This window comes from Homo sapiens, chromosome 6 (assembly GCF_000001405.40).
Source record: "Homo sapiens chromosome 6, GRCh38.p14 Primary Assembly".
NCBI lineage: Eukaryota > Metazoa > Chordata > Mammalia > Primates > Hominidae > Homo > Homo sapiens.
In genome coordinates, this window is record NC_000006.12 from 138,554,730 (window position 1) to 138,579,906 (window position 25,177).

The window sequence follows — 25,177 nt, forward strand, 5'->3', positions numbered from 1 at the left end:
AAAACTCAAAGCTCTGTAAAGAACTATGGAATTTCTATAAAAAGGTAGTTTACTTCTGAAATTCACCACATTCACCAACTTTTGTCCCCCTTTAACCTTAGTGACAACGTTTCAAGGAAGAAGCTAATAATTTCCCTTTCAACTGCCAAGGCTTCTGAGTCGTGAGGCAGTTTGAAACTTCAGGAATAGTGAGTTACTTCAGGACCCATAGGATTTACAACAATAATGGTTTGAGGAAACCACAGCATTTAGGCTCCTTCAGTCTTTTTCCCTGTCTTTAAGAGTTTAAAAATAAGCAAGAAAATGATTCTTCAAATCGGCAGACCATCTTCAGGGGTGGAGTCTTGCCACGGTGCATAATAATCCCAGAGTTACAAGATCCACAGAGCACGGTGCGGCCCACAAAAACAGCTCTTCTGACCCTCCTCTTGATCATGCCGAACATGATCTGAGCCTTTTCCTTTTTGATTTTTGTTTTACCTCTCTCTTTCTCTTTCTCTCTAGCTTAAAGTCAGTAAAGTTCTAGTAGAAGTAACTTACCATTTTGTTCATGGTAATGGCTGGGATTTCCTTTGCGTTCTATTTCTATTTAATGCATCTTTGTAAACTCAGCTATTAACTATAATAAGTCTACAGCCACTCAAGAGGGAAAAAGTTCCAAGTCAAAAATAGAATGCTAAGTTTAAAGTTTTAAAATGCTTCTATTGCTTTCGAGGCAGGTGTGCTTCTGACAGCTCTATTAAGTTACTCAACTGTCTCTAGGGACTTCAGTTCCTAACAAAGAAAGGCTGCAGCCTGGTGCCCTTGGGTTGGTTTTTTGTTTTTGTTTTCTTTTTCCTCTTTCATTCTTTGAAAACTGAATGAATTCTGTTCTTGTGCGGAATAAAAGTGACATGAGAAAGCCTGTTTTCAGGACTGGCGTTCTTCCTCTTTTGTCTTTGCTATGGTAAGTTGCTTATCTTCTGCATATCTGCTTAGAAAACTTTCTGTGTGATACAGAGTGACTCAGACGCTTCCAAAACCTGCTCTGTAAGGTCAGAAAAGGAATTTGTCACTTGACCCTCACAGGGCAGTCAGGAATGTCAAAATTAAAGAGACTAACAGAAAGGAACACACTCTCAATACCTTAAGAGGGGACAAAGGAATGTAAGGACATAGCCTCACTGGGCCCTGTTGGGTACAGGCCTTGAGCAAGCTAACTCACTTTTCTGCATCCTCCCTTCTTAGCTGCCAAACAAGGGATCAGACAGGGTATCTCGGAGGTTCCTTCCAGCCCTGACACGTTAGTTAGCCTTGTTGTTAAGCTAACTCTACTTGGATCCCTTCACATGTCCAATTTAAAGACTGTGTACATATATTTACTAAAATGCTTCAAATGGCACCGAGAGAAGAAAATGTGTGGTCATTGCTTCAATAAGAGCTCTCTCTAAATAATTACTAAAGTTGATTTCTCTCATTAGGTAAACACAAAAGTCAGAATTCTTTGAGTTTTCATTTCATTAGAAAAGAAAGACATCTTTAAAACTATCATCATCTCTGATATTTTACAACCAAAATAGAGAGTAACTATGTAAAGTACCAAAAGCTTTTCCTATCAGGAGTGAGACTCTTCTGTCAATTCTTCAATGTTTAGAGAATGACAGAAGGAATAACAATGCTTCTGTCATTGTTATTGTCATTGTCATTGTAGAAAAATAACTATTTTTCTTTTCTCTGAGCCCCATTTCTTGAGTCACAGAATTTTCTGTAATCTCTATTTTCAATTAATTCAGGTTGCATTTAAACATTTTTGTAGGTCTCCTATGTGCAAATCAAAATACTCATTGAGCAAACACTGTGGATCTAGGATGCAAAATGGGGATTATAGCATTTCAACACAAACTAGTAAAAAGTCATGTGAATTCTCTGCACTGGGATATTAGTGGTTCATTAACAAATTCATGGAAAACCAGAGGGTCAGATCAGCTTTTTCAGCCACATTTTATATCATTCCCATTCGCATTAATGAGGCTCAAATATCGTTTAAAGTATTTGGCCAAAAATGTTTAGTAGAGTAGAAGTGGTTTTAAATAATTGAAATACGTCTTACCTTCACTATTTCTTGACTTTTTAAATATAGAGGATACAAACAAGAACATGAAATAGAAATCTGGGGGATGCAATTTCAACCAAATGAAAAATGAGTAAATAAACTTGGTGTCTACATATCAGATGGAGAAAAGAGAGTGACAATCAACAAGTAATTAGAGAAAGTGGTTAATGGTGAAATCAAGGTTTAAAAGCATACTTGCTTAGTAAGTGAAACAAAGCAGTAGATGATAATCCTCCTTGAAAACTCGGAGTGATTTTTACAGGAGTGATTAAAATGTAATGTTTACAGAAAACACTGGGATGGCCAAATACAGTCACCGGTCCATGATGTTAACACAAACATGTACTTTATTCCACCGTACCAAAACGAAAAGCCAACAGAAGATAAACATGTAAAAAACATAGTTACATATTAGAGTAACATCCACTTATCAACGGATCATTTTGCTGACAAATTCAACCACTCAAAATATGGCAAAGAAGAAATCAAAATGGCCTCCCACCAGACAGCACTGCCCACAGGATTGTGGCTCGGGATCTCATGCATCTTCCAGTCAATACTGTTGCAATACACTGGGTTACCCAGACCCCCCCACACAAGGTAACACAGGAGCAACACCAAGCCAAAGAGTGGTGGGGACTACCAGAGACAGGTGCAAGTACACTGTCGAAAGAGAAAGGCTTCCAGCAAAAGTGAAATACAAAACAGTCACTGGAAGTTAAAGAACACTGCAGAGATCCATTTCATGCCAAAGCAAAGATCTCTACAATATTCAGCGGCCATCAGGGCATCACCAGGTCCAATGACTAGTCACAGTGACACCAGGGCATTAAAACGAGGTTAAATTGTACTCTTTGATTGAGCAGAGTTGTTGAAGTGTCATGAAGAGTGTGGGACTAAGTCACGAGAAGTGGATTCAAATCCAGTCTATACCAATTATCTCTATGGCTTCAGGCAAGTCTTAATATTGCAGGAACTGCTTGCTCACAACAAAAAGGGGCAATGCCACCTGTCCTGCCACTCCCACAGAACTATCCTTACGATGAAAAAAGACCATGCATGACTACTGCACAAACCATGACCTGTAAACAGGCTCTGGGTGTAGACTATACTTTAGAAAGATGTTCATTAAAAAATATTTTCAATTGTTTTAGAATTCTGAAAGATGAACGAGGCAAGCTTCTGTTATATGGAACTACAAATAAGTAAAAGGCATACTTCTCTAGTATTTTATACAAGTTAATATCTAGTCTATATGATCACAATTTAGAAAAGTATCTCTAACCAATTACCAGGGTTTTTTGGGGGGCTTTTTTTTTGAGATGGAGTCTTGTTCTGTTGCCCAGGCTGGAGTGCAGTGGTGCGGACTCGGCTGACTGCAACCTCCGCCTCCTGGATTCAAGCAATTCTCCTGCCTCAGCCTCCCGAGTAGCTGGGACTACAGGCACCCACCACCACGCCCGGCTAATTTTTTGTATTTTTAGTAGAGATGTGGTTTCACCGTGTTAGCCAGGATGGTTTCGATCTCCTGACCTCGTGATCCACCTGCGTCAGCCTCCCAAAGTGCTGGGATTACAGGGGTAAGCCACTGTGCCCACCCTTTTTTTTTTTTTTTTCCCTGAGACAGAGTCTCACTCTGTCGCCCAGGCTGGAGTGCAGTGGCACAATCTCAGCTCACTGTAGCCTCCGCCTCCTGGGCTCAAGCAATTCTCCTCCCTCAGCCTCCTGAGTAGCTGGGACTACAGGAGCACACCACCATGCCCAGCTAATTTTTGTATGTTTAGTAGAGACAGGGTTTCACCATGTTCAGGACGGTCTTGATCTCCTGACCTCGTGATCCACCTGCCTCGGCTTCCCAAAGTGCTGGGATTACAGGCACGAGCTACAGTGCCTGGCCCCAGTTACCAGTTTTTACAGTAACTGTTTCAAAAAAAACACTACAGCCAGGCAGTGGCTCACGCCTATATTCCCAGCACTTTGGGAGGCTGAAGTGGGAAAATCACTTGAGGCTAAGAGTGAAGACCAGCCTGGGCAACATAGCAAGACCCCTTCTCTACAAAAAAACAAAATAAAATAAATTAGCCAGGCATGGCGGCAGGCCCCTGTAGTCCCAGCTAACTTGGGAGGCTGAGGCAGGAGAATTCCTTAAGCCCTAGAGTTCAGGTTACAATAACCTATGAGTGCACCACTGCACTCCAGCCTGGACGACAGAGGGAGACTCTATCTCTTTAAAAAGAAAAAAAAAAAAAGAAAACCACCAAAACATTGCTTTTGTTTTCCAGTTCCAACATAGGATCTCTGCTACATACAGGCTAGAATCCAAAAATTGGAAGTTAAAGTTTTGGACTAAACTTCACAACTAATTTTCCCCTATGGGGGATGGACAGTAGGCTGGTAAATAAAGACAGAGAAATCTACAGGATCAGGGCAGAAACTGGCCAGACATTGCTATTCATGGGCTTTCCCTAGGGCCAGTGAGCAGGTGCAGGGAATCAGCCTGAGTGCATCAGCAGGCTCTTCCACACTGCCCTGCAGCAGGCAGCAAGGCTCCTGTTGGCAATCACTCGGTCCTGCTGCCAACTTTCAAGGCTTATACACCAACGGGGTCCTGGACTAGGGGCGCAGAGGGGAACTCAGAAAAGGACTTCCTATGGTGGATGAATGCGTAGGTGGCTCAGAGTCACAAGCTGGGTTTTGGACCAGATGGTTTTCTGAGAGGCACCACTACTCTACACTGTTTCTCAAAGTACTCCTGGTATACCAGGCCTTTCTCCAACACCAAGACAACAGTGGACTATCTACAGAAATTCCATCATAGCTTGTAACTTCTACATATTGAGAAAAAAAAGCTATGTGATACACATGCATAATAACACCCTACTGAAAAAAGTGAAGTCTACCGAAAGCACCATTTTTGAGGGTCATAAAATCAAGTAGTAAGTCAGGACTGACATTTTCTGTTTGATAACATAGAATAGAATAAACAGAGAAAACAGAGTACCATATGTAGACACGCAGTAAAGGTAAATCATTCCACAAAGCTATTCCATGTACGCATGCCATGCATATATGCCATGTGTGGCATGGGAACCAATGTAAAGTGTATTTATTACTTTGGACACAAACAAAACTTTTTAAACTCTCTGACTTAAAAAATAAACTATAATTAAACTTTTCAGGCCCTGAAAACCCCAAAACATTCACACCATAGTTCCTGTAGGAGATTATTTCCCCCATTTGAAACAAGCATGGATTCTAGAGAAAACTAGCTCAACTTTCTCAGAAACTAGAGAAGAATTTACTAATTGGATTTTTGTTCAAACCTTTATTATTAGTTGGAGTTGGAACATAACCTTCGAGATTTCTAAAGTCAGTGGCATAACCTTCCCCTGGTTACAGTGACATAAGAACACAGATCAACTGAATAAACCAACACATTCTCCAGAGTGGCGATGTAACCAAGGTCTGCTGATCCAAAGCAATGTCGAAAGACAGAAACCCCAACCTCGCCAGCTTCATAAAGCATCAATAGCACACAAATGAGACACGGTGGCTTAAAAGTGGCTTGCAAATGGAACAGAGCTAAGATCCTTATGACAGAACAACACTCAGGCATGCACACGTAAGGACAAAGAGTTGGACTTGGGAAGCTAGCAAGGAAAAAATATTTGAAACATCTTTTTATAATGGGAATAGAGTGTGTTGAAGAACTCAGCAATGAAATGACTTTACGGTAGAAATCAAAGTTCTTTTTCCAGGAAGTCAGAGCATTCTATGTACTTTCTACTGGTGAAAAACTTATGTAAATAAATAACTACCAGGCAAGATGATCACAGCAACCAAACTAAGCACCAGCCACAACCACCCACAAGGTAAATTCACAAATTGCCTTGTGTCTGCTTTGTAAAAGAATCCCCGACCAATCAAGACTAAAGCAATACCCACCCGTATTCAGGAAGGAATGCTGGTTTATCTCAGAAGGCAATCCAGAAACACCAGATACCCAGTTTCTGCTTTAGCTGAGGCGTTTCTAGTTACAAAGTTAAAGAGAAGCTTAGGGAATAGAGGCAAGGGAACTGTATCGACAATAAAATATACTTATTCTCATGTTCTCTAGTCAAGTTTATGGAAAAGACAAAACTCAAGTGATACTGTTTAAAGAAATCTCAACTGCTTGTGGCTTTTATTAATACTTGCGAGTTTTCCTTCGAGAAAGCCAAACATATATTAAGCCCAAGCCTGACAATTTACTGTACCACTAAAATTATTTTAACCAGTGAATAGATTAGCCTTTATTCTTGTTCTATACCTTTTTCAATAATGCACAAAAACTTATTAAGCTATGTCTTAAAACATAAAAACAAACCTACAATACTACAAGTGTACAATTAGCGATGCAAGCAGCATATTCAGAAATTTGACCAAGCTCCCACAAACCACAATTACTTAGGGGATGGGAATCCAAAAAGTCTTAGCTAAGCGGTGGCGGGTGCGGGGCATGGAACCGGATCAGTATGGGAGTGATGATCTCTTCTTTCCTTATAGCTTATTCCCTCCTCTTCCCTCCAGGTTACTGCCACCTTCTTCCATTCACTACCATTCCCAATACAGTCTTTTTCAAAAATAAGAGGGCATGAAAATGGAAAAGTAGAGTCCCTCTTCATTCCACTAATCCTAATGAGCTCCCACTCTAGGAAACGCCCTGTAGGCCAGGTTGCTCCCAGTAACTTCACAATTCAAGCCATTTTCACATTGACTTTGGGAAAGGGTCTCTCCTCAGTGTGAGTTACTCAGAAGGTTGCTTTATATCAAGTGTATGCAGCACTAGGGGCTCTCCAAACACAAGAACCCACGATGTGCCCGCCACATGAGGCACACGCCCAAGCATGCACTCAAACACTAGAAATTAGCCCAGCAAATGATGGTATTGGTAGGGGAAGCACTAGCTGGGAGACTTGGCCAACAAATCCTCCCCCTACAACCACTGGGGGAAGATGGTCTCAGACAACTGCTTGCCTAGGCAAGCATTCACCATTTCTCTTACAGCCTAAATATCCAAAGCAAGATGCAGCCAGCACAGTAACGAATTTTAGCAAAAACTAAGTAAATAAATGTTAGTTTAATGTCTATGATATCTACTAGTCAGTCATCAAATGTCAGCGATGAACTGATAGAGAATGCTCAGAGATGCTGAATTCAACGGAACAGAGAAGAGGTGTGGTACAGGCTGAAGAGGGGCAGACCACAGCTAGACCACTGCAACCAGCTTCAGGCATCCCCAGCCTCACACCACACACATTTGTGTATATGAACAGTGTGTATGTTGATTACACATAAATTTTCCAATCACATTTATTAAAACAGTGATTGCCATAAATATAATCTTTAATTAGGGAGATTAGAAATATAAGGTAAAGACTACCCATAGTTCACAACGCTAGAAAAAGTATAACTATACATTGGAAAAAATCACAGATGCCGTTGCTAAGGGAAAAAGTAATTATGAAAATCTGTGACTTCTCTTAATAAAGATACCCTAACATGGCCAGGTGTGATCGCTCATGCCTGTAATCCCAGCACTTTGGGAGGCTGAGGCGGGTGGATCACCTGAGGTCAGGAGTTTGAGACCAGCCTGGCCAACATGGTGAAACGCCATCTCTACTACAAATACAACAACCACCACAACAAAAACTAGCCAGGCGTGGTGGCACACACCTGTAATCCCAGCTACTGGGGAGGTGGAGGCACGAGAATCGTTTGAACCCTGGAGGTGGAGATTGCAGTGAGCCGAGATCACACCAGTCCACTCCAGTCTGGGGCACAGAGTAAGACTCTGTCTCACACACAAAAAAATATATAGCCTAACATGAAAATCTGTGGTTTCATTACTACTTTTCCTCATGTGCCTATATAATCCCTTCAACGAGAACTTTGTCTTTTCTCGGTTACGACAGCCCCTAGATGACCTGGTTCTAACCCCTAATGCTCCAATCCCTTCTGCACGCCATAACCAGAGCAGGTTCCTTCCAATACGGCTTCGACCGAGTATTCACAATAGATATTTACTTACTATCTGCAAAGTGCAAAGCACTTGAAAAAGGCTAGACTTCAAAGGGCTTCAAGTCTAGGAGAAGTATGAAGTGCATACTCAAATATTCTCAAAGCAGAGTATTTGCCCTTAAACCAAAAGTTATTAAGTCCTTGATGCCAAAACGCCCTAGGTGCTTTCAATGTCATTTCTCCATCTGAAGAATTATACTCAGTTCCCTGCTTCCCCACATCTGTTTCTCTGCCCAGTTTTCAGTTCTCTCTAATGATCTGACCCTTCCTTACCAAACCAACTATTGTTTTTATTGGTCACTTATGATATCCAGACTATGTTTATTAAATGAATGAACTCATGTAAAGTTTTAATAATAGTGTCTCGCCACGGTAAACATTCACTAAATATTAGCTATTGTTAAGCTTATGGATAGGTCGACTGATTCAGACATGACTTTCAATTTAGTATTTTAATCATTTCAGGATTTGACGTCAACACTGAGATACCAATTCCTTGAAGGATTACGTAAAGGAAGTGATAGGTTCCACTTGAGTTGCCTAGGTTATACAAGCACTCCAAAGACACTTCCACAACTGGAAATTCTAGATAATAGCATAGTCTACACTAGGATAAAGACATTTTTTGACTCAACTGACTATTGATAGTGAAGAGATTATCAATCCAATGGCCAGTATCATTAAATACAATAGATCGAATTTGTAGGCTTACAGCATATCTATAAAACAAACATTCATTTATTCAATAAATAAATTGTACCTGCTACTGGTATGCATGTATGATGAATAGGTATTATCCCATTTTACAGTGTGGAGGAGAGAGTGAGGAGGAAGCACAAGGAGGCAATGGGGTAAGGGAAGCAGCATGTATAGGGCTTAAGAGAGCATTGTTAAGGCTTAGCTATTCAACTCCCTGGAGAAGGAGAGCACCTGAGGGGTTTCAAGCAGTGAAGTTACACGTGACTCATGTTTGAGGTTTAACAGGATCACTGAGGCTGCTAGGTTAAGATCAGACCAATTGGTGGGGAGGGGAGCGGTGTGTACAAAGGTGAAAGCAGGGAAACCAGTTAAGAAAAGATTGCATTAGCACAATGGAGCTTCTCCTTATCAGGCTTGGCATCGTTAATTCCATATCTCTGTTCACTAAAGCCAACTTTACTAATTGGTCAAAACAGCCCTGATCAAATTTTTTTTTTATCCAAAGAGCTTGATACATGCATAGTTTGTGTGAAGCAACAGAAAACACCAAAAGTATGCCATCGAAATTATGTTTCCACAAACAGAACCCTCTCTTTTATTACACTCAAAAAAGTCCAGAGTTGAGAGCACTGGGAATAAGCATACAGTGCTACCTATAACTTGGACTTCTGAATGGTCTTCTGTCCTCTCTTGCTGTCTCCACTCTTGTTCCCCTTTGATCCATCCTTGTTCCCCTTTGATCCATCCTTGTTCCCCTTTGATCCATCACTGTTTTTAGAGTGATCTTCCCAAAACAGGGATTACAGGCAGTGGCTCAAGCCAAGCCTGTAATCCGAGCACTTTGGGAAGCCGAGGCAGGTGGATCACTTGAGGCCAGGAGTTCAAGACCAACCTGGCCAACATGGTGAAACCCGTCTCTACTAAAAATACAAAAACTGGCCAGACTAAGCCAAATTCAGAAAGTATTTGCTTAGCACATTAGCCTGTGCACAAAGCACCATTTAATCGAGTCCCAGATGTGTTAAGTTTACCCATTCAGCAACCATTTATTGAGCACTTAGCCTTGGGGATAAAAAAAAAAAAAATAAGATTGAGTCTCCATCCTAAAACAGGTCACGGCTAGTTCAAGACACAGACAAGTAAACAAGTAAGCATAAGCCAGTGTATGATAAACACGATTAGAGAGGAATGAAGAAGGCAGAGAAATAACATAGAGACAAGAGCCATCAGCTCTGCCTGAGGATGTTAGAGAAGACTTCACAGAGTTTTAAAGCGAGTCTAGAAGGATAAGTAGGAGGTCAACAGGCAGGGGAGGCGACTCGAGCACCCTGGCACAGGGAATAAGAGGGAACGGGAGGTGCCAGTTTCTGGAGTTGTGAAAAAGCAATGAGTCTGTATGCTAGTTCTGCAGGGGAGAGGACGGAGGCAGATCCCGTAAAGTTTCACGCCATGTAAAGTGATGTAAGCTCCATTCTGTAGGCAATGGGGAGCTACAGAAAGGTGATCCAGTTGTTTTTGTGGGTTTTTCTGTTTCTTGTTTTTCTGAGACAGAGTCTTGCTCTGTCACCCAGGCTGGAGTGAAGTGGTGAGATCTCGGCTCACTGCAACCTCCGCCTCCTGGGTTCAAGCGATTCTCCTGCCTCAGCCTCCCAAGTAGCTGGGATTACAGGTATGCCGCACTAAACCCGAGTAATTTTTGTATTTTTAGTAGAGACAGGGTTTCACCATGTTGGCCAGGCTGGTCATGAACCCCTGAGTTCAAATGTTCCTCCCACCTCGGCCTCCCCAGGTGCTGGGATTATAGGCTTGAGCCACTGGTCCCAGCTGGTTTTTGTATCTTAGGAAGATCACTCTGGAGACAGTGTAGACTCATGGATGGATCAAAGGGGAACAAGAGTGGAGAAAGCAAGAGAGGACAGAAGATCATTTAGAAGTCCAAGTAAGAGCTGATGAGGGCCTACGCTCTATGAGGACGGACATCTAGGTGCAAATACAGCAGACCTTTAGGAGATTAAACTGAAGTATTTGATAGAAAATACTGTAGTTTTCAAAAAAAACTCTAGGCTGGGCATGGTGGCTCAGGCTTATAATCCCAGCATTTTGGGAGGCCAAGGCAGGAGGATCACTTGAGGCCAGATGTTCAAGATCAGCCTGAGCAAAAGAGAGAGACCCCATCTCTACAAAAATAAAATAAAATAAAATAAAATAAAAAATTAGAAAGGCATGGTACCCTGTGCCTGTAGTCCTAGCTACTCAGGAGGCTGAGCGGGGAGGATCCCTTGAGCCTGGGAGTTCAAGGTTACAGGGAGCTATGATTGTGCCATTGCACTCCAGCCTGGGCAACAAAGCAAGACCCTGTTTCTAAAAAAAAAAAAAGCAAACAAACAAACCCCTCTAATTTGACAGAACATGTTATAGTTAAACCAAAACACCCTGAAATTACATGGAAATATATTTTATAATAATTGCATGAGACATAAAAATTAACCCTAGATAACATGCAGGATCTTTTAAAATTATTAAAAACAAACTGTTGGCCAGGCGTGGTGGCTCACGCTTGTAATCCCAACACTTTGGGAGGCTGAGGTGGGCGGATCACCTGAGGTCAGGAGTTCAAGACCAGCCTGGCCAACATGGTGAAACCCCGTCTCTACTAAAAATATAAAAATTAGCCGGGCGTGGTGGCGGGTGCCTGTAATCCCAGCTACCCAGGAGGCTGAGGCAGGAGAATAACTAGAACCCGGGAGGCAGAAGCTGCAGTGAGCCAAGATTGTGCCACTGCACTCCAGCCTGGGCGACAGAGCAAGACTCTGTCTCAAAATCAATCAATCAATCAATCAATCAATCAATAAAAAGTAAACTGTTCATAAAGATCAGTTTCAAAGAAGGTTTCCATAACTTAGCAAAGACATTTTAATGGAAAAGAACATAGGTTACTCACTTCCAAACTCAAGCCCTGACAATAAGTTGCTTCTTTTTATCACTCTTAAGATACTTTTCATAATTTAAAAAAAAACCATATTTTTCATAATTTAAATGCCTCTTCTCAAAACAAATGCACAAAGTTTTTAAACTAAAAAAGGAAGGATACTAGATAAAATATCATTTAAATCGAACTTCAACAATTTAATTTGCAAATAAAGACATATTAAAATGAACAAGGCAGTGAGACAACAGAGTCCCAACTTCAGAAGAAAAAATAATAATAATCAAAGGTCAATAAAGGGCAGTCTCAATGGACCAGAGAAAACATTAAGTGGCACTCACTGTGTGTCTCTTTCACAGAATGTCAACTTCAGTAGGAAGTAAGAGCAAAACCATGACATTCACTGATCTCTTTTGTTAAGACACGAAGGTAAACTTCCTTTGGCTATTTTTCCGATATATGTAGTAACCATCAGAATAAATAAAACTTACTGATCTTGTTTCACTCTTAAATTTGTGATGCTACTTGACAATATTTGTCAATATTTCTTAGGTTTTCTTAATGCCAGAAGGAAGCTATTTTTTTTTTTGGAGGATTTTTGTTTGGTTTGAGACCTAGTCTTTATGTTTGTTTGGTTTTGAGACCTAGTCTCGCTGTGTTACCCAGGCTGGAATGCAGTGGTGTGATCTCGGCTCACTGCAGACTCGACCTCCCAGGCTCAAGCGATCCTCCCACCTCAGCCTCCTGAGTAGCTGGAACTATAGGCACACACCACCACACTTGACTACTTTTTCTATTTTTTTGTAGAGACAAGGTTTCGTCGTGTTCCCCAGGCTGGTCTTGAACTCCTGGGCTCAAGTGTTATGCCCACTTCGGCCTCCGAAAATGTTGGGATAACAAGCATGAGCCACCACGCCTGGCCCAGGAAGCTATTCCTAAGTCCCACCAATTTAAGGATTTTATTATCAGAAATAGATCACAGCTATTTACATGGAAACAGGATCTTGACTTTTGACCTAGCTGCTTTTGGTTTTTCATGTCATTTTTCTCCACTGTAATATCTGGTCATTAGTAATCTAATTATGTGCAAGGATCCTGCTTTCTGCAACTATTTTATTAGGAGAAAAACTGGGATGAAATTACTTTAAATAGATCCAACTCCCACACTCAAAAATTGATTATCTAGTATATGGATTATTCATTACCCTTGATGCCTAGTATGGTCATTCTCTGGCCATTTTTGTAGTGGCTGAGAAGGGAGGACACTGACATTCAAATGATTCAAAGCTGGTAACATTACTAGTCTGTACGATAAAGTCCAGAAGGAAAGGATGAAACATTGTTCAAAGCAAGGCTTTGCATGTCAATTACCTTCTCTATCTGCTGACCTGCCAATACCAGGATCATCAATCACGCTTCTGCCCAGCTAAATGGAGAGCTGGGGATACAACAAAACAAGCTCTGCTCAATGAGAAGACGGACACCCCATATGATTCCACCTCTTTTAGTTTTATTTGAGTGAGCAAGAAAGGGAAAGCACAGAATAAATACTACTAGTCATTAGTTTTCCTCAAGGACCTTCCACAGTGCTGGAAAAGCAGCAGGCACTCATTAAATCTTGTTCAGTTAAATGCTAACAGTTAGAAGACCATGCAAAACATGAAAATGTTCCAGATAAAGTTCCTTTATGCGGACCTTCTCATCTAGGTCATCGTGTTGCACTTTTTCACAATTATCCTACATTTTCTCTTTAACCCCCCTGCTTTAGATGTCTTATTTGCTTCTCCATTTAAGCATGAACTCCATGACTTCAGGGCCTGAGTGCTATCTTTCTTTGTATCCTGCACATAGTATTCAGTAATGATTCCACCAATAAATGCTCTCACAACTTCACGTGAAAAGTTACATATTGTCTTATCTACCACTGCATTCCACTTTTTTACTATAAAGAAGACACTGATTCACACCCTTGATTTGTATGGCTAATTAAGTCAAAACATCATCTACTACTGTAGTGGGTCATATCATACTAGGAATATAAGAATTGATCATTGCTGTTACCCAGTTCATTCTTACCTCTCTGAGTATAAACGGGGATGGGATTCAAGAGAATTTTGAAACTTGTAGTGTGCTGTCAAACACACATACAAAAGAAAACATACAGATGCTTACTGGTGGCTGCTTTGGACCTATCAATATGTATCTTGTAATTACTTTTTAAGCTGAGGAACAGTAGTCTAATCAGAAAATGCATACTAGTAGCTTCTAATCGTATAAAAAGATTCTCAAAAGAAAAAGAAAATCAAGCACTATAATTTTATCCCTAGTTTCTTGACATTAAATCATAAAGCTATGGGTTTGTTGTACTGAAAGATACCCATAAGGGTAACCACTTAAAAACTTTATTTTGATGTTCCTGATAACAATCCAGCATAGAAATTCCCTATTAAAAGACCTTCTGTTTCAGAAATTGAATGTGTGTCATACAACACACTATCCACACTGATGGTAGGAGCTCAGCAGGCTAATGGTGCAAAGCATACCTGGAGACAGCGGGCAGGGAACAGGCAAGCAGTGTGGCCTGGCAGCAGCTGCTGGAGGGGAGGGAGAACGCCAGGAGCTGCAGAACCGGACCCCCGCCAACCAGAGATCCCACAGGGGGACAACTGATGCGAGGCTAGCTTGTTAAGCTACAGTTGCCCTACATCTAGCTGTCACTGCATGATGGTTGTGTGTATATGTGTGTGTGTGTGTGTGTGTGTGTGAGAGAGAGAGAGAGAAAGAGAGCGAGAGAGAAAAAGAGAGAGAGCGAGAGAGTGGGGAGGAGGGAGAGTTTTTGGCAATCTGTGTAAATCAAAAAATGTTAATGTAAGTTAGGGGGGTTGCGGAATAAACTGAAAGAAAGGTGGATTAGGCTGTGTGTGATTTGGGCAGAGAGATATAAAAGATGCTACACATTCCCATCAGACCAATGTGTCTCCCAGTGCATATTTATTTGCAACCAAATCCTAACGTGGCCATTGGGCATTCTTAGCATTGACTGATAATCCTTGCTAGAGTTTCAGCCTATTTGATGCTTCTAAGAAAAAACTTCATTTCTGCATATTTTTTCTTGAAGACTTTTCCTCTTTTGATCTGCTCACATAAACAAATGTCACTTCTGTATTTCTCCAAAGGAAGGAATTGTGTGGAATAAAGATCAACTGTTATAACATTCCCCTGAGACAAGATGTCAAAGTTGGAAGCCAATTTTCTTTTGTAAGTCAAATGCGAAAACAGAATATAATGCCATGAATTTTGATGTATAAGCAGCTTTTTAAGGATTCTTTCTGACACCGTATGTCAAAAATCATATTATTCATGCCCAATTATTTAAAAAAAAAAACACATAAACTTACACCCTGTATTATGCTTCCATTTATCTTCATGAAGCTACTGTATCCCCTATTCCGTTAAGGGATAAAGGGCACAATCTTTTGTATCGCTACGTAAGCAAGTCCTCCCTTCACAAGTTGCCCCTGTCCTTTACAATGACTTCTTTATTTTCCACAAGTCACATGTACAGTATTTGCTTTATTTCCCAACTAAAACTAATACACACAAATTCAGTCTCTGTTCCTTTAATGCTAATTCAGATGAAGCATCTACAGTAGAAATCCTACAGCCTCATGCTCACATGTATACAGTCGTTAACAGAGACTTGACAGTGGTTGACTTAAAGTCAAACAAGTCCTACAAAGCAACCTTTGGCAAAGCCCAAAGGAATCAAAACTATACCCTCCTGCGACCACAGCACTACTGAATCCACCCTCCAAACATTTTTGTTTCAAACATTACAACCCAATCATTTACCAAAACCACAGCTTATTCCTGATTTAGAAAAGTAAAGTTCACGGACTTACTAAACTATACAACTCCAGCCAGAAAGCACAAATGCCTTTTCTAAGCCTGGCAATCACACAGCATTTGAACTGAAAACCCACATTTTTAAGCTCAGAATCAGTGGCTCATTGTTGATCACCTTGTTGATACAATAAACAACTGATATCTTCAAAGATTATTAGCTAGTCCCTCTTGTGCCATAGTTTAACAGACAAGAACAAATAGTTTACACACACATTCACTCTGAAGAAGGGCTGCATTAATGCTCAGCCTGTGCGACATAATTACTATACTCATAAGCACATATTTAACTTAGTTGATTCTCTCACGTTTCAGTAGTTTTGCTTTCCAAAGCAGGGGGAAGCACAGGTCCCTGAAAGACTCCAGCAAGGTTTCTTTTGGCATGGGGAAGAATGTGATAAACATGGAAAACACAATCACGCGGAAGGTCTGGACTTGATTCCTTTGTGATACTTAAATAGCACTCCCCTACTGGGCTTTGCCCACTGCACCGAATGGAGAAACCATTTTAGAGCTTAACAATTCAGTCCCTACACACACTAAGAGGAAGAATTCAGAAAATCTAAATATAAAATAGGGGTGTGTTAAGAAATATCGAACTGTTTCCCTCTCTCCCAGCAGGACTGGTATTTTTTTTCATCTTGGAGGCAAAACATGTTAATCCTGAGAACAGAGCCAATGTCAGTCTGAAAAGAAACTTGATAGAAATCTAAAAACTCTGGTTAAAAGAAGGAAAGGAGAAAGAAAAAAAAAATCCAGAAACTCCTTGGGACCAACATATCAGTGTTAAGCCCCTTGCGTGTTCATTTTCCTTGATGTCACAGCCCAACACTGGTTTAATTCAAGCATTCATGTAATTCCTCAATCTTAGAAGAAGGATGCAAGAAGACTATGTACGATTCCCGAAGTTTTCTCAGTGCAGTTTCACAAGAGTTCCACGTTCTAGCCCCAGATTGCTATAAGGGCAGAAGATTCTCTCTAGCTAGGGTGGTGGGTGGTTTATCATTGAACTTTTCACAAGTCACATGAGCATGTGGCTCTGATGGAGGGAGGGAGGCTGCCGAGAACAAATAACAGCTACTTTATCTTTCTTTGAATGATACAAGATACAAGCTCAAGCTGAGGAAGAGCATTTTTATTTTAGACATGTAAACAAATGACGCCGAATTCCAATACAAAAACAAACATTTCAAAAGAAACTCCTAATGGGGGCAAAAATCATGAAGGGGGAGTGATAGAAACAAAGAATTCTACATAACAAACTTTTTCAAATGTTTAAATTTTTTAAAAATCGAGTCACCTTTTCTGGGCTGGGCTCTGTATATCCAGTTTTCGTCATCCACTTCCACCTGCTGCCCACAAACCGAGAGCTCTCCATCACTGCGAAACAGCCTCTTTGTCTGCCTGGACAAGGAGGAGAAATTTATCCAACTTACAGCACGTGAGAGAGAACCTGTATTCGGCTGGAGTCTGAAGGAACCTGAAGAGCCTTCCTTTTTCATCTTCTTTTCAAAATCAACTAGAGACAAAGAACAGCCCAGCAAACAAAACGCTGGGTTTTTTGCGTTGGCCCAGGTCCTCTCCACGAGCCTGCTGTTTCCCTCTTAGACAACGCTGACAGTCAGGCACCGCATTATCCAAAAAGACGGCTTCTGTGTCACCCAATTAAAAAGAAAGGGAAAAGGAGGGGTTAAGAAAGAAAAGAAAAATGTTTTACCCTAGCCACATTGTGGACTCCGTTTCTAGATCCGCGATATCCACGGCCAAAAAATAATAAACAAATAAAAGTATAATTTAAAAAATGAAGCAGCGTGTTCATTTCAGGAGTACTTGTCAGGACTTTGCAAAACACAAAGCCAAGGCACCCCGACTCTTTGGCGTGTCCCTAGCATCCCAAATTGTAATCCTACTCCTCTCCTGGGCATCTTTCCCCACCAGGGCAGAAAGCCAGCTGCCCTGGTGAAGTAACTCCTCACCCTAGAGAAAAAGAGTCAGGGTCAAGCCAGGCACCCAGTTTACAGTTCACCCACACGGTTACTTGGGAGAAATCAAAGAGCTCAGCTCACTCGCCCCAGCACAGGGCAGAATCATAAACCGCCCACTTGCTCTCCTTCCCGTCTGTGAAGCGCTCGTTCAGAGCCGCAGGACTCCGCAAACAATAAAACCGGCTGCGTGGCTATTGCCTGGATTACAGAGCAAGCACTCCTGCGAAAGACGATAGGCTTTCCCGACACCAAAGGCACCTCATTGGAGACAGAAAACCCCGCCTCTCCACAGTCAATACTTCAGTGGCAGCTCAAACTTCTGAACTTTAGCGCAGCTAGGGGTATGCAAGTCTGTGCAGAATACAGACTTCTGGGCATAAAGAAAAAGAACTTGATTATGAATTATCAAACCATACTTCTGAAACTACAATTTTGAGAAGGGGCTTAATACAGTAGATAGATAGATAGATAGATAGATAGATAGATAGATAGATACATCCAACATTCCTAGATGGATTTAGGAATGTCCATCATTTAAGGAAGTATATTTCCAAAGAGAATATAACGGACCCGGCTATTCACTCCCAGCTTCCAACAAAGGTGAAACGCAGCCATCATTGTACCTGTTACTGTCACTCCTGCCTGTCACCAGCAGCCAGAGTGTGGGGCTGGATCCTCCTCTGCCGTATCACTGGGAGCCCCTGGGGGTTATTCCTCTCCAACCTTGAATGATCATCCTATCACAAAGAGTCATCAGAGAGCTACGCTAGTGGCACTTAGCTGCAGGCTCTAGCCCTGAGCCTCCTCTGCAAACTATCTAGAGCCACAGCTTGCAATGCATTTGGGTGTAGCATTTCACCCAAGGCTAACTTACTACAATTCCACGGTCCTAGGGGTGTTAAAAGTCCCTGCAACTTTCCATCATAGAGACTTGGGTCGGCATCTCCTTCTCCCAAGCGTTATTTGGGGTAAGGCAAATAAGCAACGAGTAGAGAACTAGGTCTGTAGCACTTTGCTTTACTCAGCATCGATCAGATACATTAAAATTAACAAACTGCAATAGAAAATAAACTGATTAAAAATTTTAAAACCAGAATTTTGCATCATACATCTACTCCAATTCACTGAGATTTTAAGAAGAAGGCTCTACAAGCTTACTGGGACAGGAACACTTGTAGAAGATAGTCAGAAGTTCTACAAAGTGTTACTAAGATAGGCAGTTCATATTACACCATGTAAATAATGACAGAGAACAGGTATTACTAAGGCAGAAGCTACAAAGCAGCCTCAGTTTAAAAGCTAAAAGAGTCCTTGAGATCACGTAGTTTAAACTCCATGATTTTCAGATAGGAAAACTCAGGCCCAGAGAAAGTATGTTCATACCCAATGTCACACAGAGAAGTCAGTAATGAGGACCAGGCTGCAGCCGACACCACTTGGATCAGAGATTCACACACTTACCAGGGATGCTTGCTACATCACCAAGTGCTCTGGGCCTGTTTCAGTTATTAATTGCAATAATATCTCCACTTTGACTACCATTATTTTATTTTCTTTTTTTTGAGACAGAGTCTCACTCTGTCGCCCAGGCTGGAGTGCAGTGGCATGATGCAAGCTCTGCCTCCCGGGTTCACACCATTCTCCTGACTCAGCCTCCCGAGTAGCTGGGACCACAGGCGCCTGCCACCACGCCTGGCTAATTTTGTTTTTGTATTTTTAGTAGAGACAGGGTTTCACCGTGTTAGCCAGGATGGTCTCGATCCCCTGACTTTGTGATCCGCCTGCCTTGGCCTCCCAAGGTGCTGGGATTACAGGCGTGAGCCACCGCACCCAGATGACTACCATTATAAAGGCAAAGTTAAAATAGTTGTGCATAACACCAGTGGCTAACATCAAACATCCACTCTCTTCTTTCTGAGTAGAAAACACTTTTTGAGAGTCTCAAAATATAAAAGGAAAAGTAAAAAAAGACCATCTCACCAGAGAAATCCATTAATGCCCCAAATGCTGTTTGCCATTTCACTGGTTCACGAGACCCCCGCCACACATCTGTGCACACTCAAAGGAGCCATGGAACCCAAACAATGAACACAATTCTCTTCTCCCTACTCTCTACATCCTGCAGCTGCATTTTTAATTTAAAAATATCTGGCTGGGCACGGTGGCTTACGTCTGTAATCCCAGCACTTTGGGAGGCCAAGGTAGATGAATCGTTTGAGCTTAGGAGTTCAAGCTCGGCCTGGGAAACATGGCAAAACTCTGTGTCTACAAATAATGCAAAAAAAAAAAAAAAGAAAAGAAAAAAAGTTAAGTCAGGCATGGTGGTACTTGCCTGTGGTCCCAGCTACTCAGGAGGCTGAGGTGGGAGGATCGCTTGAGCCCAGGAAATCGAGGCTTCAGTGAGCTGTGGTTGCACCACTGCACTCCAGCCTGGGCAATAGAGTGAGACCCTATCTCAAAAGAAATAAATAAAAATAAAAAATTATATATATGCTTAAACCTTGTGTGTTCTTCTTTTTTTGGAGACGGAGTTTCCCTCTTGTTGCCCAGGCTGGAGTGCAATGGCGCAATCTCAGCTCATCACAACCTCTGCCTCTCGGGTTCAAGTGATTCTCCTCCCTCAGCCTCCCGAGTAGCTAGGATTACAGGCATATGCCACCACACCCAGCTAATTTTGTATTTTTAGTAGAGACGGGGTTTCTCCATGTTGGTCAGGCTGGTCTCGAACTCCCAACCTCAGGTGATCTGTCTGCCTCGGCCTCCCAAAGTGCTGGGATTACAGACATGAGCCACCGTGCCTGGTCCAAGTGCTATTTTTTATTTACCAGAAGTGCTGTTGAGCGCTTTCCTCAACTCCCCCTCCATGGAATGTGCATACACACAGCAGCAAAGGTGAATTGGTATCATTAGTAACTGGCGTGTTTTCCTCCAGGGCCCCCAACCCTGTACACTTCAAGGAAAGGGTTAACAGGAGAAGCTAAAGGAACATTTCCTGCCAAGCAGCCAAAATGATAACTAGTCCATTCAGGGACTAGACTCATGACTCTCCGTCAAAGTAAGTGCCCACGTCTGCCAGATTTCCAGAAACTGTGCACCCACAAATCATAAGACCTAGGGATACGTTTGTATAATAACCAATTCTCTGTCTACTGGCTAGTCCATATTTCTGTTATATTGGGCCTTGATTATTAAATCTTCATTTATCTAAGAAAGTCAAATAAATTAACTACTTTTACAACTGGATCAGAGTTCCTGTTGATCAAGAGAATATAATGGTTTAAATCAGCTTTGTAGGTAATAATTAGATCTTAACTATGCATATTAGATATATACTCTAATTAGCTTAGAACATCCTAAGTGGGCTTCTTAAGAAGCTACTATATTCACTCAAGCTATATTTGTTTAGCAACCACGATGAACCCCACATTTTAGTTATGTGGATTATCAACCCAAGAGCCATACAAATCAGCCCCTCCTGGCAGCAGGGCCAAGGCTACTTTGTGCCAAAAGCTTCCTGTATATTATTGCTAACCTTCACAATAACCCTGCCGTGGAAAAATCCCTACATTTATTTATTTATTTATTTATTTATTTATTTATTTATTTATTTATTTTGAGGCAGAGTCTCACTCTGTCACTCAGGCCAGAGCGCAGTGGCGCGATCTTGTCTCATTGCAACCTTCGCCTCCCGGGTTTAAGCGATTCTCTTTCCTCAGCCTCCCAAGTAGCTGGAACTACAGGCGCGCATCTCCACGCCTGGCTAATTTTTGTATTTTTAGCAGAGACAGGGTTTTGCCATGTTGGCCAGTCTGATCTCAAACTCCTGATGTCAGGTGATCTGCCCGCCTCAGCCTCCCAAAGTGCTGGGATTACAAGCATGACCCACCGCTCCCCGCCTGCAAATCCTACTTTTACAGTAATTGGTTTTTAAAAAAAATAACTTCAGCTATAATCTTCAAAGTAATGAAAACATCTTAACGTAGCTATTTTTCTCCAAGAAAACCTACATTAGACTGCCTTGTCCCCATGTGAGACAGACGTGCTGAACAGATTTTATCTGCCTTCCTTACCGTGCTGGGCTGCCCCCTCCCCTCTCACTGTCAGGCTGTCAAATTCGAACTTCTGCTGTCATCACATGTGCCAATAACTGCTCCCTTCCTACCACTTTGCCACTGCTGAGCTTCAGGCCTTAGGAATCACATAAACAGGCTTGTTTAAATTACATGTTTAATGGGAGTTAATGAGGGCTCACGGAATAAAAGGCAGAGCCTCTGTGGAAGGGCTTTGTCGCAGCTGCCTTTGGCCAGCACCCCCCTCCTTCACCAGCGGGACGGAAGCCCCAGGGTTGAAATGGCTGAAATGGCTGGAGGAGCAGACCCTGCATAATGACCCCCAGGTGGATCTTTACACCATGTTTATGATCAATTGCATCTTTTATACTTAGTTCTCCACATTTGAGGGTCACTTACCCATCACTGCTGACAAAGGGACAAGAAATTACTCTATATTACTCTATATATTTCAGAAATGATTTACATAATACATTAAGGAAAATTTAACTATAAAAACTGGAGGCACCAGAATAAATTACTAGAGGAAGTTCTAGAATCATCTCCTTTGGGAATTCCTAAGTCAAATGCCCATGAATTTGGAAAGATTTATCTATGCTTCTACCAAGAGTCAAAGGAATAGACTGAATATATTTGGAAGGTTCTTGCCATAAGACACAATATTTTATGTTTCAGCATATACTGGCATCCTGAAAAAGGAGTTTATCATAAATGAAAGTTGGAGACTTAATAAAAAGTGTTAAAGAGGACAGGATATAGGATTAGACAAACCTTTCAACGCAACCAGGCATGTAATTGCTCTACTCGCCATCTGTGTAAAATGCCAGCCAAAAATAGGAACTAATTTCAAGTGCCATCAGTTTTTTGGCCTCACAGGCCACAAATGAGCACTGTGACTTTTCATTTCCATGTGTAGCTTGCCTGCCCTGTCAAACCTAGCAAAGAGAACAAGAGAGGCAGCACCCTGAAGTTAGAAATCAATGGGAAAACACGGCTGGATTGCAAGCGCCGCTGGGGTTGGCTGGTTTGGCTGGGAGTGAGGTGCATAAACAGAAGGCATGTGAAAAGAGACAAAGGTGCAAAGAGAACCACATAGAGCACAGAAGAGGACTACTCTCAATGGTGTCACGTTCTGAAGTGGCCCTGCCTGGGCTGGGAGCAGTGAAGTGTGCCTCTCATCAGATTACCACATGAATCACCCAGACAACCCACAGGGACCTTTAGCTTAGGACAGCGTACAGTAGGTTTTCCAACTGTCATCTCCTGTGAATAATTTAAGAGTACACTTAAATGGAAATCTTTCTATGAGGTAATTTGTACACACGAATAATGAAAGCTTATCTCAATATCAAAAGTAAATACTTTGAGCCAGATATTTATAATTAAAAAAACAAAACAACCAAACGGTATTACCCCCAGGACCACAGCAAACACATTCCCCATAGTACATTAAATCCTTCTTCCTTTATCCACCTTTCCACCCACCAAGGAATGAAACAAGTGATTGTACTCTAGAAAGAAGTCATGGAAGGCAAAACGCAGCTAATTACCTAATCAGCGCCGGCCCCGTTTTCAGGTTGCCCTCAACTACCACTGCTTTAAAACTTAAAAGAAGGAAAAGCACTGACTTCTCATTAAACCCTGGCTTTAAAAGCCACAGTGCCTTCAACGGAATTAATAGTGTTGTTCCCCTCAAAGGGAAAGACTCAACACAAACATTTATGCATATGTATCACCACCAGCCCAACTCCCACCTTTCAAAGTCTTCATGCCTGAAAAGGGCGAACAGATCTGACATCCTAAGCCTTAGCTGCACTGTCCCCATGGGATCACTTGATACAGAAGCAATATGGCAGATTATTGCTCTCAGTCCCCTAAGGTGCAAGGGGACAAAGGATGTCGCTGGTAAAGAAGCCGCCACTGACACAGAACATGGACGTCAGAGGCTTGGTAAGCAGTACATAACCAAAAATGCAACATCTGTACCAACTTTCACCAAGAAAATGTCCCCAACCTAAGGAGTTCAGATTACAAGAAATCCTAAAACAGCATCAACTTTGAGATTCTTCTAATATAAGAAGACCAAGGGCAAACTTATTCTGAGATCAAAATAAAATTCCAAATAAATAACTTTTTTAAAAATCATGACTTCCTTTGTTCTTGATACCTTTCCTGTAGCCTCTCCAGTGATCACTGTGGTTATTATTTTTTTTAATCTACTCAACCAGTTTTTCTTTTTTTTTGTAAATTGTATTAAGCACTTAAAATCATAGGAGATCTTATTGAAATGCAGAGTGTGATTCAGGTCTGGGGAAGGGACTGCAATTCTGAACTCCTAGAAGCGCCCAAGTGATGCTAGTGCACAGACTGTATTTAAGTTAGCACAGTGCTAGACTATAATGCCCCTGAGGCCAGGAAGCTCATCTGTCATCTTCCTGTCCCTTACAGCAGTGGTCCCCAGCCTTTCTGGCACCAGGGACCAGTTTCATGGAGGACCATTTTTCCATGGACAGCAGGGTAGGGAGTGGTTTCAGGATGAAACTTCCACCTCAGCTCATCAGCAGCATGAGATTCTCATAAGCAGTGTGCAACCTAGATCCCTGGCATGCATGGCTCACAACAGGGTTCGCACTCCTATGAGAATCTAATGCCGCTGCCTGTCTGACAGGAGGTGAAGCTCAGGCAGCAATGCTCGCTTGCCCACAGCTCCCCTCCTGCTGAGCCGCCTGGTTCCTAATAGGCCACAGCCTGGGGTTTGGGGACCCCTGCCTTATAATGCCTTATACACAGCCAGCATTTAGCCAATGTTGGTTGACAGGGTGAAAAAAATGGAACCATCCATCATTTCCATGTTACCTTTTTATTTTGATCTTAACAAGTTTCAGCGTAAGGAGATAATTAGGCCTTTATAGCAATCATTCCTTTATCACTAAATCACAAAAAGCAAAAGTAAAATGTATAAACTGGCAAAAAGTATACAACCTGAATTAAAGGGTTAATAATAAAACCCCATTCATATGGCCATACTGTTTCACTTTGGGAAGAAAGAAGCTTATTAACTGATAGGCGTATGCTTTTCTTCATTTATTAGGACATCTTCACTGCTTCCATCCACGAGAACTTCAGAATCCAATGATCCAGACCAGCCCAGTGCAATCAACAGTGAGCCAAATCAAAAAGCAGCCTACATTCTACCTGATAATCCACACACAGGCTGGGATCTGCTGGGTTCTACTAGGTGAATTGAATTGCTCCATGCCAGTGGAAAATTTTTTCACATCAGTTTTTCCTAGTAGATGTTTAAAAAATTACAAAGAATTTTCCAATCGACCTTACGTGACCTTTTAAAGCATTTATTCTATTTAACTCTATCTTTAAAACTATACTCACTATGGCTCTATAGTGCTTACACCGAATATATCTGACTTTTAACGTTCTATCA

General features: G+C 41.7%; 1 protein-coding gene across 15 annotated transcripts in view, besides 2 other annotated features; it reads right to left on the reverse strand.

Moving 5' to 3' along the window:
* The window catches only part of NHSL1 (NHS like 1), a 271,170-nt gene that overhangs the window by 132,687 nt on the left and 113,306 nt on the right, over nucleotides 1-25,177 (reverse strand). For 3 of the 15 annotated variants that reach the window (XM_047419115.1, XM_047419112.1, XM_011535967.4), the window contains exons 1-2: nucleotides 17,713-17,840; nucleotides 16,981-17,332 (exon numbers count right to left, since the gene is read on the reverse strand). The exons of 5 other annotated variants lie outside the window; for them this stretch is intronic. In XM_047419115.1, coding sequence (XP_047275071.1) covers nucleotides 16,981-17,182 — 202 coding nt within the window. In that variant the 5' untranslated portion in view covers nucleotides 17,183-17,332; nucleotides 17,713-17,840. Of the gene's footprint in view, nucleotides 1-15,988; nucleotides 17,841-25,177 lie in introns of those variants that run through there. 7 more of the 15 variants (XM_047419116.1, XM_047419114.1, XM_017011087.1 and 4 more) reach the window with 4 other exon arrangements.
* Nucleotides 17,418-18,174: an enhancer, noted in NCBI's record as "NANOG-H3K27ac hESC enhancer chr6:138893284-138894040 (GRCh37/hg19 assembly coordinates)". NCBI's record gives its function as "activates a minimal SCP1, AML or CMV promoter by ChIP-STARR-seq in primed H9 embryonic stem cells {active_cell/tissue: H9 hESC(primed)}" and the evidence as "EXISTENCE:reporter gene assay evidence [ECO:0000049][PMID:30033119]".
* Nucleotides 21,953-22,453: an enhancer, noted in NCBI's record as "H3K4me1 hESC enhancer chr6:138897819-138898319 (GRCh37/hg19 assembly coordinates)". NCBI's record gives its function as "activates a minimal SCP1, AML or CMV promoter by ChIP-STARR-seq in primed H9 embryonic stem cells {active_cell/tissue: H9 hESC(primed)}" and the evidence as "EXISTENCE:reporter gene assay evidence [ECO:0000049][PMID:30033119]".